We start from the raw sequence: 15,750 nt of genomic DNA, 5'->3' as shown, positions 1-15,750 counted from the left end.
AGCTCAACAAAGACAGAGCAGTTGCCCATTAAATTCTATTATACTTTATAGACTGAATATGTTAGGTGGAAGTTGGGGAATTATTTGGGGAATGGTAGAAAGTGGTTTTTAAGTTGCAGGCAAATCGTGTGTGTTTTGAGACTGACATGATCACCAAGCCTCCCAACCTGTTCCAGGCATATGGACCTGGACTCCTTCCTGGCAGATTGGATGGGAAATTTCCCATTAACCCAGCCCTGCCACTAGTGCTCCAAACACTTTGGGAATTCCCGGAAAGCCCTGCAGCAGAATAACTTATATGCCAACAAATTCTTAAACGTTAGCTTTTAGACAGCACTGGTCATTGTGCAGAGCCAAATCGGGTGAAGAATGAGGGATCAAATGAGTTATTCTGCAATCATCAAAAAGGAGGTTCCACTGAGAGAGTCATCACATTTGTTTTCATGTTTTGTTTAGAGTCTGCCTCTGAAGATAATTCCAAGAGATGGTTTGGAAAAATTGTTTGTGAACAATGTCAATGGGCCTGCAGGAATTGTGTAACCTCTAAAGGCCATAGCACTCACTTTATTTACACGGCGTTCATTTTTTGAAAATCAGCTTTAATTCTTTTCCCCTTTGCAAATAAAGATGAGCAAAGATTTTTTGCGAACGTGCTCTGGACCCAGAAATGTGCTAAGGAAGTACTAGGGAAGCACTAGGGAAGTAAAGAGGAACATAGCAACTCTACTCCCCAAGCCATAGATACACAACATAGGTGCAGGTGTACAGTGTGACCAATATCATCATAGTAGTACACCCTGTCTGGAGCTGAAAGTGGAGCAGAGAATCTTACAGTCCTCCTTTCTTTCTCTGGCATGGAGAGAGGGCCAGACAGAGGTGGGAGGGAAGAGAGTGTGCTGTTAGACTAAATCAACCTTCTGCCCAACCTTGACAGCAGCCATTCTACAGATTGATTTTTTTTACTTTTAGCTCTTGTGAAACTCCACGTTTATAGAACCAAGCTTGAGTGCATTTTGATATCAAATAAGAGAGTGGTGGGCAACACTGCAGGTCCCAGATGTCGAGCCACAGTGCAGAGGAGAGGTGGGCTATCTGCATACTCCAGTCTTGGAGAAAGAAATGCTCAATCAGGACACACAGGCCACCTGTGCAGACGTGGAGTCGGCAACCTCACTCTGGATTCCCTTTTCCTACTCACTCTCCCTATCCCATTAGAAGTCTGGGAATTCCATTATCGGTCAGGTCAGTGGTCCTTGGCTTCATCTCAGGGATGGCCTTTCATGAAGGCAGCTCTTGCGGAGTGGCAGCCCGGACCAAGAGATGCCTGTTGCTTGGTGGGGGATGGTGGAGCTCATCCTGGAATCTTAAATACATGATCTCACATCTACATACATATCTACTCTTTCATATCTTTCCCCAGGCTCGTAATATGAAGTTAAAAAAGCAAATGGTCTATGATAAGAAAACTGGATATAATTGGAATGTCCACCCCAAGGGAGCTAGTGAAATTCGTTATTCTCCATTCATAGCCTGAACTGTTATATTGCCATAAAGATCGTGTTGATGAAGAACCTTCCAGATTCCAGCATAGTGATTGAAAGAGGCAGGTTACATGACTGAGATCACATGGGGATCTCAATGATGTTTAAACAAACAAACAAAATATGAATATGGCAATTTATCTCTGAGTGTAGGGTTGTTGATTTTTCCATCTTTCTTTATTTTCTGCATGTTATATAAACAATGAAAGTTATTTAATTATTTGCAAAGTAACAAGTCCACCAAGCCAAGTATCAAAGCAATTCGCTGTCTCAGCCTCCCGAGTAGCTGGGACTACAGGTGCATGCCATCATGCCCAGTTAACTTCTGTATTTTTAGTAGAGATGGGGTTTCACCATGTTGGCCAAGCTGGTCTCGAACTCCGGAGCTCAGGTGATCCACCCGCCTCAGCCTCCCAAAGTGTTGGGATTACAGGAGTCAGCCACCACACCCAGCCACAAACAATTTTTAATTTCTATAAACAACAAAACAACACTAAGAAATTTCTAGACTTTATTTTCTCTCTCTGTCTCTCTCTTTCTCATTAAGACCTCACCAGCCAGTCATCTTTTATGACATGCTTACATGTGAGGGGCCGTCTTCTCAGATAGAATTTTCAGGGACGGGTCTGAGTTAAAGGAACATCAGGCCCTCCTTCTGTGCAGGGCCCAGCTGGCTGATGAATGGGCTCCTTGCTTCTCTTCAGGCTCATCCCCTTGCCTCTCCTCCTCATTTCCTGTTGTCCAGTGCACCCTGTCAAGCTCTTTTGCATCTTGAATCTTTGCACCTGCTTTTTGCCGGGAAGACTGTCTCTCTGGCCCTCTGGTGGCCGGCTTCTTGACATCATCCATATCTCAGCTCACATGCTGTCCTTTGACAAGGCCTTCCCTGGTCCTCTTCAAGGGAGACCACCCTTAACCTGCCACTCCCTTCCCCTTTCCTTGTGTATGTTCTTCATCGTGTCAGGCACTACTTGCAATATTTGTTTGTTTGTGCATCTCTTTATTGTCTGTCTTTTCCCCAAGAGGCTGAAAGCTCCATGGTTTTTTGGTCCCTGCAGCAACTAGAACAGTACCTGGCAGACACAAGACACGTAATACATATTTTTGAATGAGGAACTTGGCTCCAGAAGCCATGAGAATAACTTTGTTCCAACACATTCAGGCTGCGGTCAGAAAGGGTGAGCTGGAAGCAGTGAGCTGGGAGATAATGAAACCAAAACACCATTATCAGGAAGCTTGAGAACAAGGCCACCTTTTAAGTATCTAGAAATTCCCATTAATTTCTTCCACACCTTGTTCCCCATCCCACCTGAAGACTGAAGCTGAGAGGCTTTTTTCCCAGTCATCTTGACCACAAGATCAGTTCTCTCCGTGAACATAAAGACAAAATCGCTGTGACACCAACAGACAGATTTTTTAACAAGTGGAATCCATGTCTCATGTAAACAATGTGCTACTGCCTGCCATTGAGTTCTCTTCCCTCGTTTTCCTTTTTGAAGACTTAACCCCTTTCCCAAAGGGACATGTGCTCAGGTTTCTTGACTCCACAGCAATCCCTTCTGTTGTGTAAGGCAAACTGATCACCTTTCACAACGAGACAAGAAGTGATTTAAATCAGATGGTGACCCAATGACAATGTCTGTGCTGTGTCCTATGGAGAAAACCAAAGCTGAAATCCAGTAACAGGTGATAGGAAGATGTGGAGATAGAAACTGACCTGAATTCTGAAAAACAACAAGAGAAAAGGAAGTCTGAGAACAAGCTGGTGTTCTTCCAAAACCTGTTCATTGTGTGAATTCCTAGAAGATAGCGTGACACCGAGAAACAGGCTGGAGTGACACACCCAAACAATTATGCTACCTGGATCTGCCAAGGCAGGAGGACAAACTCAGCAGCCTGGAGAATGGAGGACACAGTCCAGAGTTGGTGAGCCAAGTTTTCTTCTGTTTGTTTTGCTGTTGCTGTTTTTGTTCTTGTTGACCTATTGAGTTCTATGATGAGACCAAACGTTTAATAATTGTCTTCTATTCTAAAACTTGTCTCTCAGCAACAACAGCAGCAATTACTTTTGACCACTCACTATCGGAAAACACTGCTTTAGGCTGTGGAAATGCAGTAGTAGAAAAGCCAGGCATAATCCTTATCCCCATGGAGGCACTATCTCCATCCAAGGGCAGAGGACCTGCAAGCCCTGAGGTCTCCAGCTGAGGTTCCTCTCTGAAGGACAGTTGCACTTCAGGTCATGCTGCAGTATGAGAGAAGGCAGCGTGACATCTTGAGTTTCTAATGCTCACACCTGTCTCAGTGAAGCATTTTTACAGAGTAATCACCACCCCCCTCACACCCCCAACAATGTCATCAAGTCATAAATCTCCTTGGTTTGAAATATTGGATTAAAATATGATTAAACAATATGTCTCAATGGAAAGTTAAGATATGTGTGCATTCTCTATCCTCAAACAATCCTGGAATGCCCCCCCCCCCACTTTATGATTTTTTATGATTTGCCTATCAGAAATCTATGCTAAAACTCTTAAAGAGTTTAGTTCTTAGATTTGTAAGAGTAAGAGCATGTAAGAAATTATTCTTTGACAGTTCTCATTGCTAGCAACAAAGTTTTTAGGTTCCAAAGAGGTATTTACTTAGAAACTAAATAGTGTGAACCATTAGCGCAGAAGATGGTGCAGTAGAACAAATGGGGATGAGGTATGAGGAGAGCCAAATGCTAATCCTGGTGTGTCACTGATGTGACTTGGACACTGCCACCCCTCTGGACCTCTGCTTCCTCTTAGGGAAGAAGTGCTCTGTGGGGGTTCTCTGAGGTTACTCCTACAGTTCATGTTCTATGAGCCTGGAAAGAGCAAAAATGTCTCATATATACTACGTAATGTTGTCTAAGTGGTACATAGCAGATTTTTTTTTTTTTTTCTGAGACAGAGTCTTGCTCTGTTGCTCAGGCTGGAGTGCAGTGGTGCAATCTCAGCTCACTGCAACCTCTGCCTCCCGGGTTCAAGCAATTCTCCTGCCTCAGCTTCCCAAGTAGCTGGGATTACAGGTGTGCACCACCACACCCAGATAAGTTTTGTATTTTTAGGAGAGACGGGGTTTTGCCCTGTTGGCCAGGCTGCTTTTGAACTCCTGGCCTCTAGTGATCTGCCAGCCTTGGCCTTCCAAAGTGCTGGGATTATAGGTGTGAGCCACTGCACCCGGCCTAAGTGGCACATCTTTACCAGACAATCCATTAAATTTGAAAAATTCCATAATAAATAAGTGACATTTGTCAAAAGCATATAATGTGTCAAGCACTAGGTTATCAGCCTTTCCACACAAACTCTTTCCTTTAAATTTCATGGCAACCCAATGATAAAAGTGGCATTATAGTCCCTCTTTTTTTTTTTCTTAAGTACATGTGGAAACTGAGGTGTAGTAAATTGTTATGACTCACTAAAAGTGACAAAGCTGGAAACTGACAGAAATAAGCCCAGGGGTTGGACTGCAGCTGCAGAGTCCCACATAAGGGAAGCTCTTTCAGGAGCAGTTTGCCTGATTCTCTGAATGGTGTCCTCCAGCCCCTGGAGGAAGGAACTGAGATCATATCTCTCTCCTTCGCCAGCTTTCACATACAGAAGCAGCTTCATGGACCCATCCAACAGGAAGGGATTTCTTACAGGCAAGCCAAGAAGTTATCTTGCAGCTGACTTTCAGTTATGCATAACTACCACCCATCTGGGACCCGATGATAGGGCAAAGGAGCTCGGATGTCACCCAATAATGGCCCAGTGACTCATCTAATTGCCTGCTTGTCAATGCCATGGTACTACAACATTCTGGTGGCCTGACTTAGTTGACTATTCATATCTCAAAGGACATGCCTCTGAGATGCAATGTGAGGTATTTTGAAAGATTAGATATTGCTGGATTGAGTCACATGTGGGAAAGAGAGAAGAGGGCTCATTGGATTCCTCTCCGGTAGCAAATGATTTGGTGAGAGTGAAGCCCTGAGAAGAGATTGTCTGGGAGGATTGACCAAAAGCCTCAAAACAAAGGAATGACTTTCACAGATTGACTAAGGATACAATCATTAAAATCATTCATTCAGTCACCATTTTCTGAGCTCACTGTTAGGCAGGCAAAGATACATAAGAGAAGTTGCTTACTTTTATGATCAAGTTGGAGACAGCAGTTATCAGAACACTCTCAGTATTTCTGGGAAATTCTGCAAGTTATGTCACATGGAGTACCTCTTTCTTTGAGCTTAAATCACCCTATCTCCCACTCTGGTTACATAACCACTCGGAACTGCAGTTTCATCTTCTTAAATTGGGAATAATCAGTTCTAACTCATTTTTAAGGGAGATTCTTAATGTGAAAGTAATTTTCAGATGATTTAAGGTGAAGGGATATAAATACATTGGGAATATTTTGGAAATCCATGAAGAGATTTACTTCCTTCTTTCGTATTCTGAGATCTTACTTTGCAGTCTTACAGGCATGCACGTGCTTTTTTTTTTTTTTAATTATCCCCTGCTTTTGTTCTTAAAATGAGATGTACTCCATTTTTATAGATTTCTCAAGGTTGCAAAGCTCCAGAATTCCTAGGTCAGCTGTGACTATTGGATAATATCAAACCAAAGCATTGAGGGTTCCTTTAAAAACCAAAAAGGCTGTTTCAGGGCTAAGACAATGAGGATTTCTGATATCTTTATAGGTGCAAGAAGCAGGCAAGGGAGCCTTGGAATTATTGACAAGAGCCTTTGTAAACACCTTCCAACCAGTTTTCCTCACAGTTGCCACAAAAGGAACAGGCTTGTGAGAGGGCCACAAAGGAGATTAGGGTTCCTGACAAGCTCTGAATGGCCTTCCCTGTATTACCAAGGGCTGACTTTGTTCCTGGTGGTGCCAACAGTGGGCATGAAGCCAGCCCTTCTGTTTATGAGCAGCTCAAGGTCAGGTGGGCTTGGGCTATCTGACTTTTCATTAGGTCAGTAAATATGTATATGAGGAAAGTGGCTGTGGGTCAACTGAACTGCTTGCTCCAGAGCTATTGACCTCTTGCCCAGCCTCCCAGCTTCCTGAATCCGTGAGAACATTCAGTGAATCAATGAGGACATCCACAACCTCATTGAGTTCTCCTTTGCCCTTCCCGTTCCCTGCCTCAGTCACAAGACCCTCTCCACATCTCTCACCCTGTCTTGCCTTGACGACCTGTCCAGGCCCATCATCCACCTGACCTATAAACTTCAAACACTTTCTGGTGTTTCCTGCTTCCAAATATTCCTCAAAATTGAGGATCCTGAGTTGAATATCTGGAGTTCTCCTTTCTGATTTCTATAATGGTCAACATGCTCTAAGGCAGATTTTCCAAGCATTTCTGGACTTGCCAGAGACTTCCTCCCTTGGCAGGTCTGAATCAGAAAATTCACACGCTGGCTGGGCACGGTGGCTCATGCCTTTAATCCCAGCAGTTTGGGAGGTCAAGGCGGGCAGATCACTTGAGGTCAGGGGTTTGAGACCAGCCTGGCCAACATGGTGAAACCCCATCTCTACTAAAATACAAAAATTAGCCGGGTGTGGTGGTGCACACCTGTCATTCTAGCTACTTGGAAGGCTGAGGCACAAGAATCGCTTGAAGTGGTGAGGCAGAGCTTGCAGTGAGCCAAGACTGAACCAGTGCATGCTATCCTGGGTGACAGACTGAAATAAAAGAAGATTCCTGCAGTGTCCAGGAATCTCTACTTTTTTTTTTTTTTTTTTTTTTTGAGACGAAGTCTCGCTCTTGTTCACCCAGGCTGGAGTGTGATGGCACGATTTCGGCTCACTGCAACCTCTGCCTCCTGGGTTCGAGTGATTCCCCTGCCTCAGCCTCCCAAGTAGCTGGGATTACAGGTGCCTGCCACCACACCCGGCTAATTTTTGTATTTTTAGTAGAGATGTGGTTTCACCATGTTGGCCAGGCTGGTCTCGAACTCCTGACCTCAGGTGATCCGCCTGCCTTGGCCTCCCAAAGTGTTGGGATTACAGGTGTGAGCCACTGAGCCCAGCCAGAATCTCTACTTTTAACACATATCCTGGAGAATTCTTATGATCAAGTATGTTGGAGGAATAGCTAGAATGCCTACTGGGGTGATAACAGTTTTAAAAAGTATTATGTTTTACTTCTTCATGTATATTTGCATGTTTTCCTAACAGACCCTCAACGTTGCTAGATGATTGGCTATATGGATGATTTGACTGGGAGGTAGTGGCCCTAATGGAGTAATAAGAAACGCTGTGCATAGATGGTTGAGAAACAGCCCTGGGTGCTGACACATCCCAAACATTAAATAGGCCTTATGAAATGTATTTTGGTGTTCTTGAGATACGAGGATGAATTTTCAAGAGGACAATTTAGTCTCATTTTAACTTGGAAGATAGAAGAGATGGTCAAGAGTCTTATCCGTTGTTTATATAAAAAGACTGTAGAAAATGCGTCAAAGCATTCGTGAGATTAGGCACCTCTACATGCTTCTTGAGGTTAGACACCTCTACATGTTTGGTGTGGTATCTAGCACAGAGTAAGCTCTAAATACAACAAATAGAATGAATAAATAAATGAATGAATGAACGTTGTATTCATTGATGGTGACTGACACATGTTCCTTTCTCCTCCCTGTCTGTCTAGTTCTTCTCACCTGAAGAACGTTGGGAAGACCTTAATTGGAATCACAAGAATTGGGTGTAAACTTTGGCTCCACATTCACTATCTGTGGGACATTCATTATCTGTGGGCTTCATCTGTAAATGGGTGGGCTGTCTTTGGGTAGGTCACCCAGTTGAAACAATGGACTCCAAGGGTTTTATTACCTCCTAAGTGTTGAATAGGATTATTGTGTGTCTCCTTGACTTAATTAGTCCAATTTTCTACCTCAGGTAGCACAACCATCACTTCTCAATTTCGTATTCTATTTCTTTTAGGAAGAGTCAATGCTCAAGATCTGTGAGAAACTGAAGCATGTTTGCCTGTTTTTCTCAATATATGCACGTTCTGTATATCTCAGTTCTAAAGAACTAAAGGTAAACTCTAATACGAGCAGTAGGAAATGGCCAGATAGGAGGAATGTGCACAGTGACCTTGGGCAAATGTCTGAATTCTAAGGCCTTGTTTTCCTCCTCCACAACACGAGTAAATCAGTTTCAATAATCTGTTAGGTCCCTTCTGTGTCAGCTTGGAAGTCCCTGCTGGAGGTAAAGGGTGACACTGTTCAATGCACTGAGAACAGCCAGGAAGAAGCTCAAATGTGTAAGAATAGAAAAGGAAGGTTATGGCCTTTTTACTTGATTCCACAATGCAAAGGTAAACAGTCATGAGAAAGAAAAGAGGTTTAAAAGAAAACAATAGTGACCTATCTGCTTTCCCTTTTGGTAAAGTAACTTTCGTAGGGCTGCTTACCATGCTGTATATATATTTTTATTCTTTCTGCCCGTTATTTACATACTCATTCAACATATATTTATTGAGAAGTTGCAGAGTTCTGCTGACTGTCTCATCTTCCATCTTCTAAAGCAAAACAACAACAACAACAACACACAGTTGTGCTAGTTTTTTGGCTTACCTCCTTACAAGGTCATACTGCTAAAACCCTCACTCTGGCATGACTAATCTGACACATAGTTTGCCTTTGTTCTCCAGAGGTCTAATGAACAGCTCCCTGTACACCACCAGGTACAGTCTACACTCTTTGAGCTGGCCTTGAGCCCCTTGCCATCTGAGCTGCCTCCCTTGTTCCTATTTTAGCTTCCTGCATGCCCAGGCAGCAAGTGACTTGGCTCCACAAACAGCCTGTTGCTATGATCTGCTTCTTCCTCTCATTCAAACCCTCGAGGCCTCGGGAGGTAGTGTAGCATGATGTTAAGAGCAAAGCTGTGAAGTCAGTGAAAGATGGGTTTTACCTGAAATCCCATCATTAACTGGTTTTGAAAACTCTGCCAAGTTTCCTAAGCCCTCTGATGTATGAAAAGACGATGATAACCACTTTGCTGAATTGTCTTAAGGCTAAAAGGAGATAAATTATGTAACTTGTTTGCTTTGAAAATGGATTGATATTTGCTCATGAAATCTCCTTCAGGCGCATGTCATGAACCCTATTCGTGCAGTCCAACTTCTACTCAACTTTCAAAGTTGGGGTTTCATGCCATTTTTATCATGAAATGTCCAAAAGCATGTGCCCCCTCAGTTGGACTCTCTGTTATGGCCCATATTACGTTTTATCATGTATTTTAGATATCTATGTTGTTAGTATATGGAAAGTAAACATCTTATTTATCTTTATTTTGTCACAAAGCCTGGCACAGTTGATTGCCTATTTGGTATGTAGTAGTAAAAAAATTCTTATGAAATGAATTAGTGAATGAATATACAATGTATTAATAAATGATTTTGCTAGTGGTAAATATTCCTATACATAAGGAGCTAAAGGGGGCATGCCAGCTGATCAATCTTTCTGAAATAAAACCTTTTGAAAGTCTTTCTCCAGTAAGATATTTGAGCTCATATAACTGACAAGAGTATTAGGATATAAAATATATAAAAATCATATGACTCAATAAGAAAAAAACTAATTATAAAAAGGGGCAGAGGGCAGGAACAGGAGATTTCATAGAAAATAAAACCCAAATGGCCAATAAATATATGAAATGTTGTTCCACCTTACTAGTAATTATAGAAATGAAAACTAAAATAATAAGAGAACATTTCATAAATTGAACACTTTGGAAGTACTTAGTAGTGGTAAGGATGTAAGAAATGAGCATTCAAAAATTCAGGTTTCAAATTGATCATAGTAGATTCCTACAAGTAAATACAAAAATGCATGAGAATAATGAATCTGATCTACCTGTACCAACAGGAATAAATTCAGAAAACAACAGAAAATGATAAAGGTTACTTGCAGAAGTATAGAACAGTATGATGGTATTTCTATATGGCATCAACCCATACACACACATACACACACACACACATGACCGTACCTGTATTAGTCTGCTTTCACCCTGCTGATAAAGACATACCAGAGACTGGGAAGAAAAATAGGTTTAATTGGACTTACAGTTCCACATGGCTGGGGAGGCCTCAGAATCATGGCAGGAGACAAAAGGCACTTCTTAACATGGCAGCAGCAAGAGAAAAATGAAGAAGCAAAAGTGGAAAACCCTGATAAACTCATCAGGTCTCATGAGACTTATTCACTATCATGAGAGAAGCATGGGAAAGATCGGCCCCCATGATTCAGTTACCTCCCCTGGTCCCTCCTGCAACACATGGGAATTCTGGGAGATACAATTCAAAGTGAGATTTGGGTGGGGACACAGCCAAACCATATCATTCTGCCCCTGGCCCCTCCAAATCTCATGTCCTCATGATTTCAAAACCAGTCATGCCTTCCCAACAGTCCCTCAAAGTCTTAACTCATTTCAGCATTAACCCGAAAGTCCACAATCCAAACTCTCCTCTGAGACAAGGCAAGTCCCTTCCACCTATGAGCTTGTAAAATCAAAAGCAAGCTAGTTACTTCCTAGATCCAATGGGGGTACAGGTATTAGATAAATACAGCCATTCCAAATGGGAGAAATTGGCCAGAACAAAGGGGTTACAGGGCCCATGCAAGTCTGAAATCCAGTGGGGCAGTCAAATTCTACAGCTCCAAATTGATATCCTTTGATTCAAGGTCTCACATCCAGGTCACGCTGATGAAAGAGGTGGGTTCCCAGGTCATGGCCAGCTCCATCCCTGTGGCTTTACAGGGTATAGCCTCTCTCCTGGCTGCTTTCATGGGCTGGCGTTGAGTGTCTGCAGCTTTTCCAGGTGCATGGTGCAAGCTGTCAGTGGATCTACCATTCTGGGGTCTAGAGGATTGTGGCCCTGTTCTCACAGGTAGTACCCCAGTAGGGACTCTGTTTGGGGGCTTTGACCCCACATTTCCCTTCTGCAGTGGCCTAGCAGATGTTCTCCATGAGGACCCCACCCCTGCAGCAAACTTTTGCCTGGGCATCGAGATGTTTCCATACATCTTCTGAAATCTACGCAGAGGTTCCCCAACCTCAGTTCTTGACTTCTGTGCACCCACATGCCCAACACCACATGAAAACTGCCAAGGCTTGGGGCTTCTGCCCTCTGAAGCCATAGCCAGAGCTGTATGTTGGCCCCTTTCAGCCACAGCTGGAGGGGCTGGGACAGAGGGCATGAAGTCCCTAGGCTGCAAATGCTGCAGGGATCCTGGGCTCGGCCTAGAAAAGCATTTTTTCCTCCTGGGCCTCCAGGCCTGTGATGGGAGGGGCTGCTGTGAAGACCACTGACATGGCCTGGAGACATTTTCTCCATGGTCTTGGGGATTAATATTAGGCTCCTTTCTCCTTATTCAAATTTCTGTAGCTGGCTTGAATTTCTCCCCAGAAAATGGGTTTTTCTTTTCTATCGCATAGTCAGGCTGCAAATTTTCCAAACTTACATACTCTTCTTCCCTTATAAAACTAAATGCCTTTAACAGTATGCAAGTCACCTCTTGAATGCTTTGCTGCTTAGAAATTTCTTCCACCAGATATCCTAAATATCTTTCTCAAGTTCAAAGTTCCACAAATCTTTAGGTCAGGGAAAAAATGCTGCCAGTCTCTTTGTTAAAACATAACAAGAGTCACCTTTACTCCAGTTCCCAACAAGTTTCTCATCTCCATCTGAGTCCTCCTCAGCCTGGACCTTATTGTCCATATCACTATCACCATTTTGCGCAAAGCCCTTCAACAAGTCTCTAGGAAGTTCCACACTTTTTGTATCTTCTCCTGAGCCCTCCAAACTGTTCCCACCTCTGCCTATTACTCCGTTCCTAAGTCGCTTCCACGTTTTCAGGTATCTTTGCAGCAACGCCCCATTCTCCTGGTACCAATTTATTGTTTCAGTCTGGTTTTGTGCTGCTGATAAAGACATACCCAAGACTGGGAAGAAAAAGAGGTTTAATTGGACTTACAGTTCCACATTGCCGGGAAGGCCTCAAAATCATGGCAGGAGATAAAAAGGCACTTCTTACTTGGCAGTGGCAAGAGAAAAATGAGGAAGAAGCAAAAGTGGAAACCCCTGATAAACCCATCAGATCTCATGATACTTTTTCACTATCATGAGAACAACATGGGAAAAACTGGCCCCCATGATTCAATTATCTCCTCCTGGGTCCCTCCTACAACATGTGGGAATTCTGGGAGATACAATTCAAATTGAGATTTGGGTGGGGACACAGCAAACCATATCAGTACCCTATGTTGTTTCTGGAGGGGGAGACATAGTAAGATTGTAAAAATGTAGACAAGAGGGAGACATGGGTACCATGGTCTCCCCTGGGAAGGAATGTGAGAGGAAGGAATCAAGAGAGCTACAACCAGATCTTTGGCTTTATCTAAAGGTTTTCTTTTTTCCTTTTTTTTTTCTTTTTGAGACGAAGTCTCACTCTCAGCCTGGAGTGCAGTGGTGTGATCTCGGCTCACTGCAACCTCTGCCTCCCAGATTCAAGTGATTCTCCTGCCTCAGCCTCCTGAGTAGCTGGGATTACAGGTGCCTGCCACCACACATGGCTAATTTTTGTATTTTTAGTAGAGGTGAGGTTTCACCATGTTGACCAGGCTGTTCTCAAACTTCTGACCTGAAGTGATCCACCTGCCTTGGCCTCCCAAAGTGCTGGAGTTACAGGTGTGAGCTACTGCACCCGGCCAAGGTTTTACTTTTATATTTAGAAACATCTAAATTAGATTAAGCAAAATATGGATGATGAAAAACTAGGTGGTAAATATGAATGTTTTTATTTCATTCATATTTTTGAAATTAGTAATAACTTCATAGTTTTAAAAATTAAAAGAAATGTAAATTTTCCATGACTCAAAAATGCAAAGAATTGACTTATGCCCAGATGCTTATTCCCAGAACTTTCTAGCAATCAGCTCAAGAAGAATGGGGTGTAGGGCCTTTGCTGACCTGTACAGAATCATATTTAAAGTGATGTAATTATGAAAATGCCATTTAAAAGGCTCAAATTTTGCCTTCAGAAATACTTCTTTCTGTAGGGTGACCATTGTGCCATTTTTTCTTTTCCTCCATGCACGAATAGCATATCACCTGCTGTCAATGCCTTGACCTTCAATGATGGATACTGAAGCCTTTTATAGAAATACAGAAAAACAGCTTTCCCCAGCGTTTTCTCCCCTACCTTCTCTCCTGAACAGTACTGACGTGGCTGCTTGGTAGAAGTTTACCACTAGGGTCCTATGGAGTAGACATACAGGACCTTCCGAACTGCTGTGGGGGAAGAAGAGAAGGTTAGTTTTGGGAATTGTTTAGTAGTGGGGAAGATCAGGGATGGACAGAGAAGGGATGTAGATGTTAAATCTCTCTGAGATGAAATTTAACTCATCTCATTGTTGAAGTGTTGAGTGATGTAACGTTTCCAGGTTTCCTCTAACATTTACCGAACACGCATTATGGCATCATGGTTTAGGGGATCTAGGCTTTGCAGATGTTACTCCATTATTTCTCTAAACAACCATCGAGCCTGTACTTTTTTTTTTTTTTTTTTTCCGAGACAGAGTCTCGCTCTGTCACCCAGGCTGGAGTGCAGTGGTGCAATCTCAGCTCACTGCAACCTCCGCCTCCCGGGTTCAAGTAATTCTTCTGCCTCAGCTTCTTGAGTAGCTGGGCATGCACCACCACTCTTGGCTAATTTTTGTAGTTTTAGTAGAGACAGGGTTTCACCATATTGGGCAGACTGGTCTTGAACTCTTGACCTCAAGTGATTCATCTGCCTTAGCCTCTGAAAGTGCTGGGATTACAGGGTTGAGCCACCATGCCCAGCCAGAGATTGTATCGTTATTTCCATTTTTCAAACAAGGAAACCAAGGCTTAGAGAAGTTAAATGACATGCCTGAGGTTGCATAATATGGGTGGACAAGAGTTACAGCCAAGTCTCTCATTCTGTTTGCTGTTGCCTCTTAAATTCTCCAATTTGATCTGCTTTTCTCTGTTAAATAACAAATCCCTATCTCTCTTTCCAGGAAATGTTCTTCAGTTGCCTGTAAACATTTATTTTGAGACTAACACTGCAGTTTTTCCTGCAATGTCCCATTTGATAACATCAATAGACTCCAATGAAGAGAGAACCCTTTTTAATCAGTTAAATCTTCATATGTAGAGTAGGCAATCAAGGCTAAGTCAGAGTGAGAGCTTTCTGACACTCACCATGCGCGTTTTATTGAAACACTAACAGGAGAGAATCATGATATGATTACCTTTAAATGAGATTATTAAGTTTATGTTTCTTCAAAATGTGTAGTAGCTTATAGATGGGGCGTTAAGTGGTTTCTAATATTTTCCTAAGATCTGAGATAAAATACTTCTTTCTAACGTTGTCTTTCATTATCTGTTCATCTGTAGCTGAGTAACACAGAGAGATTCTTCTCCAGGTCTTGCCTCTGAGTGACAGTCTTAAAGGCATCAGTTGTGGTAGTGGGGGCCAGCCATGTTCAGTCACTTAGGCCTTTCCTTCGGTGTGAAAATATCTGGCTGGACCCACAGGAAATGGTTTGAGAGACTAAAGCAAATGGCTTCTGTTTCTTACATCGTTTAAGGAGTCCATGCCCAGATGGCTAAGACAGAGAGGACTGAAGAGGAAGGGTGTCAAGGATGGTACAGCTCCCAGTTACAGATATGGTGGCTTCCACGGAGATCAGGCAGAGTTCTGAGCTTTTGGAAACTACCTGAAAATCTTCCACTAGCTCTCTTTACATGCCTTGGTGACAGCAAGTTCCTGACATTTTTTTTTTTTTTTTTAGATGGTGTCTCAGTCTGTCACCCAGGCTGGAGTGCAGCGGTGTGATCTCGGCTCACTGCAACCTCTGCCTCCCAGGTTCAAGTGATTCTCATGTCTCAGCCTCCCAAGTAGCTGGGATTGCAGCCACCTGTCACCACGCCTAGCTAATTTCTATTGTATTTTTAGTAGAGACGGGGTTTCATCATGTTGGCCAGACTGGTCTCGAACTCATGACCTCAAGTGATCCACCTGCCTCAGTCTCTCAAAGTGCTGGAATTACAGGCGTGAGCCACCATGCCTGGCCCTGCTTGATCATTTTTGAAAAGCAGAAATCCAGGAACAGACCCGAGGGAGTTACAAGGTGTAGAATGTTGAAGGTATTTCTCAAA

The 15,750-nt window shown here is 43.0% G+C and overlaps 1 long non-coding RNA gene across 3 annotated transcripts in view; it reads left to right on the top strand.

The window, feature by feature from the left end:
* Window positions 1-10,045, top strand: part of LOC105371009 (uncharacterized) — a 29,043-nt gene extending 18,998 nt beyond the window's left edge. The window contains exons 2-3 of one of the 3 annotated variants that reach the window (XR_001751697.2): window positions 2,600-3,467; window positions 8,203-10,045. This is a non-coding gene — a long non-coding RNA (uncharacterized LOC105371009). Of the gene's footprint in view, window positions 1-2,599; window positions 4,058-8,202 lie in introns of those variants that run through there. The other 2 variants (XR_932697.3, XR_001751698.2) reach the window with 2 other exon arrangements.
* The last annotated feature ends 5,705 nt before the right edge of the window (window positions 10,046-15,750 follow it).

The sequence above is a fragment of the Homo sapiens genome, chromosome 15, assembly GCF_000001405.40.
Source record: "Homo sapiens chromosome 15, GRCh38.p14 Primary Assembly".
NCBI classification, from domain to species: domain Eukaryota; kingdom Metazoa; phylum Chordata; class Mammalia; order Primates; family Hominidae; genus Homo; species Homo sapiens.
Note: the sequence above shows the minus strand (reverse complement) of the source record. Positions and strands in the feature narration are given on the sequence as shown.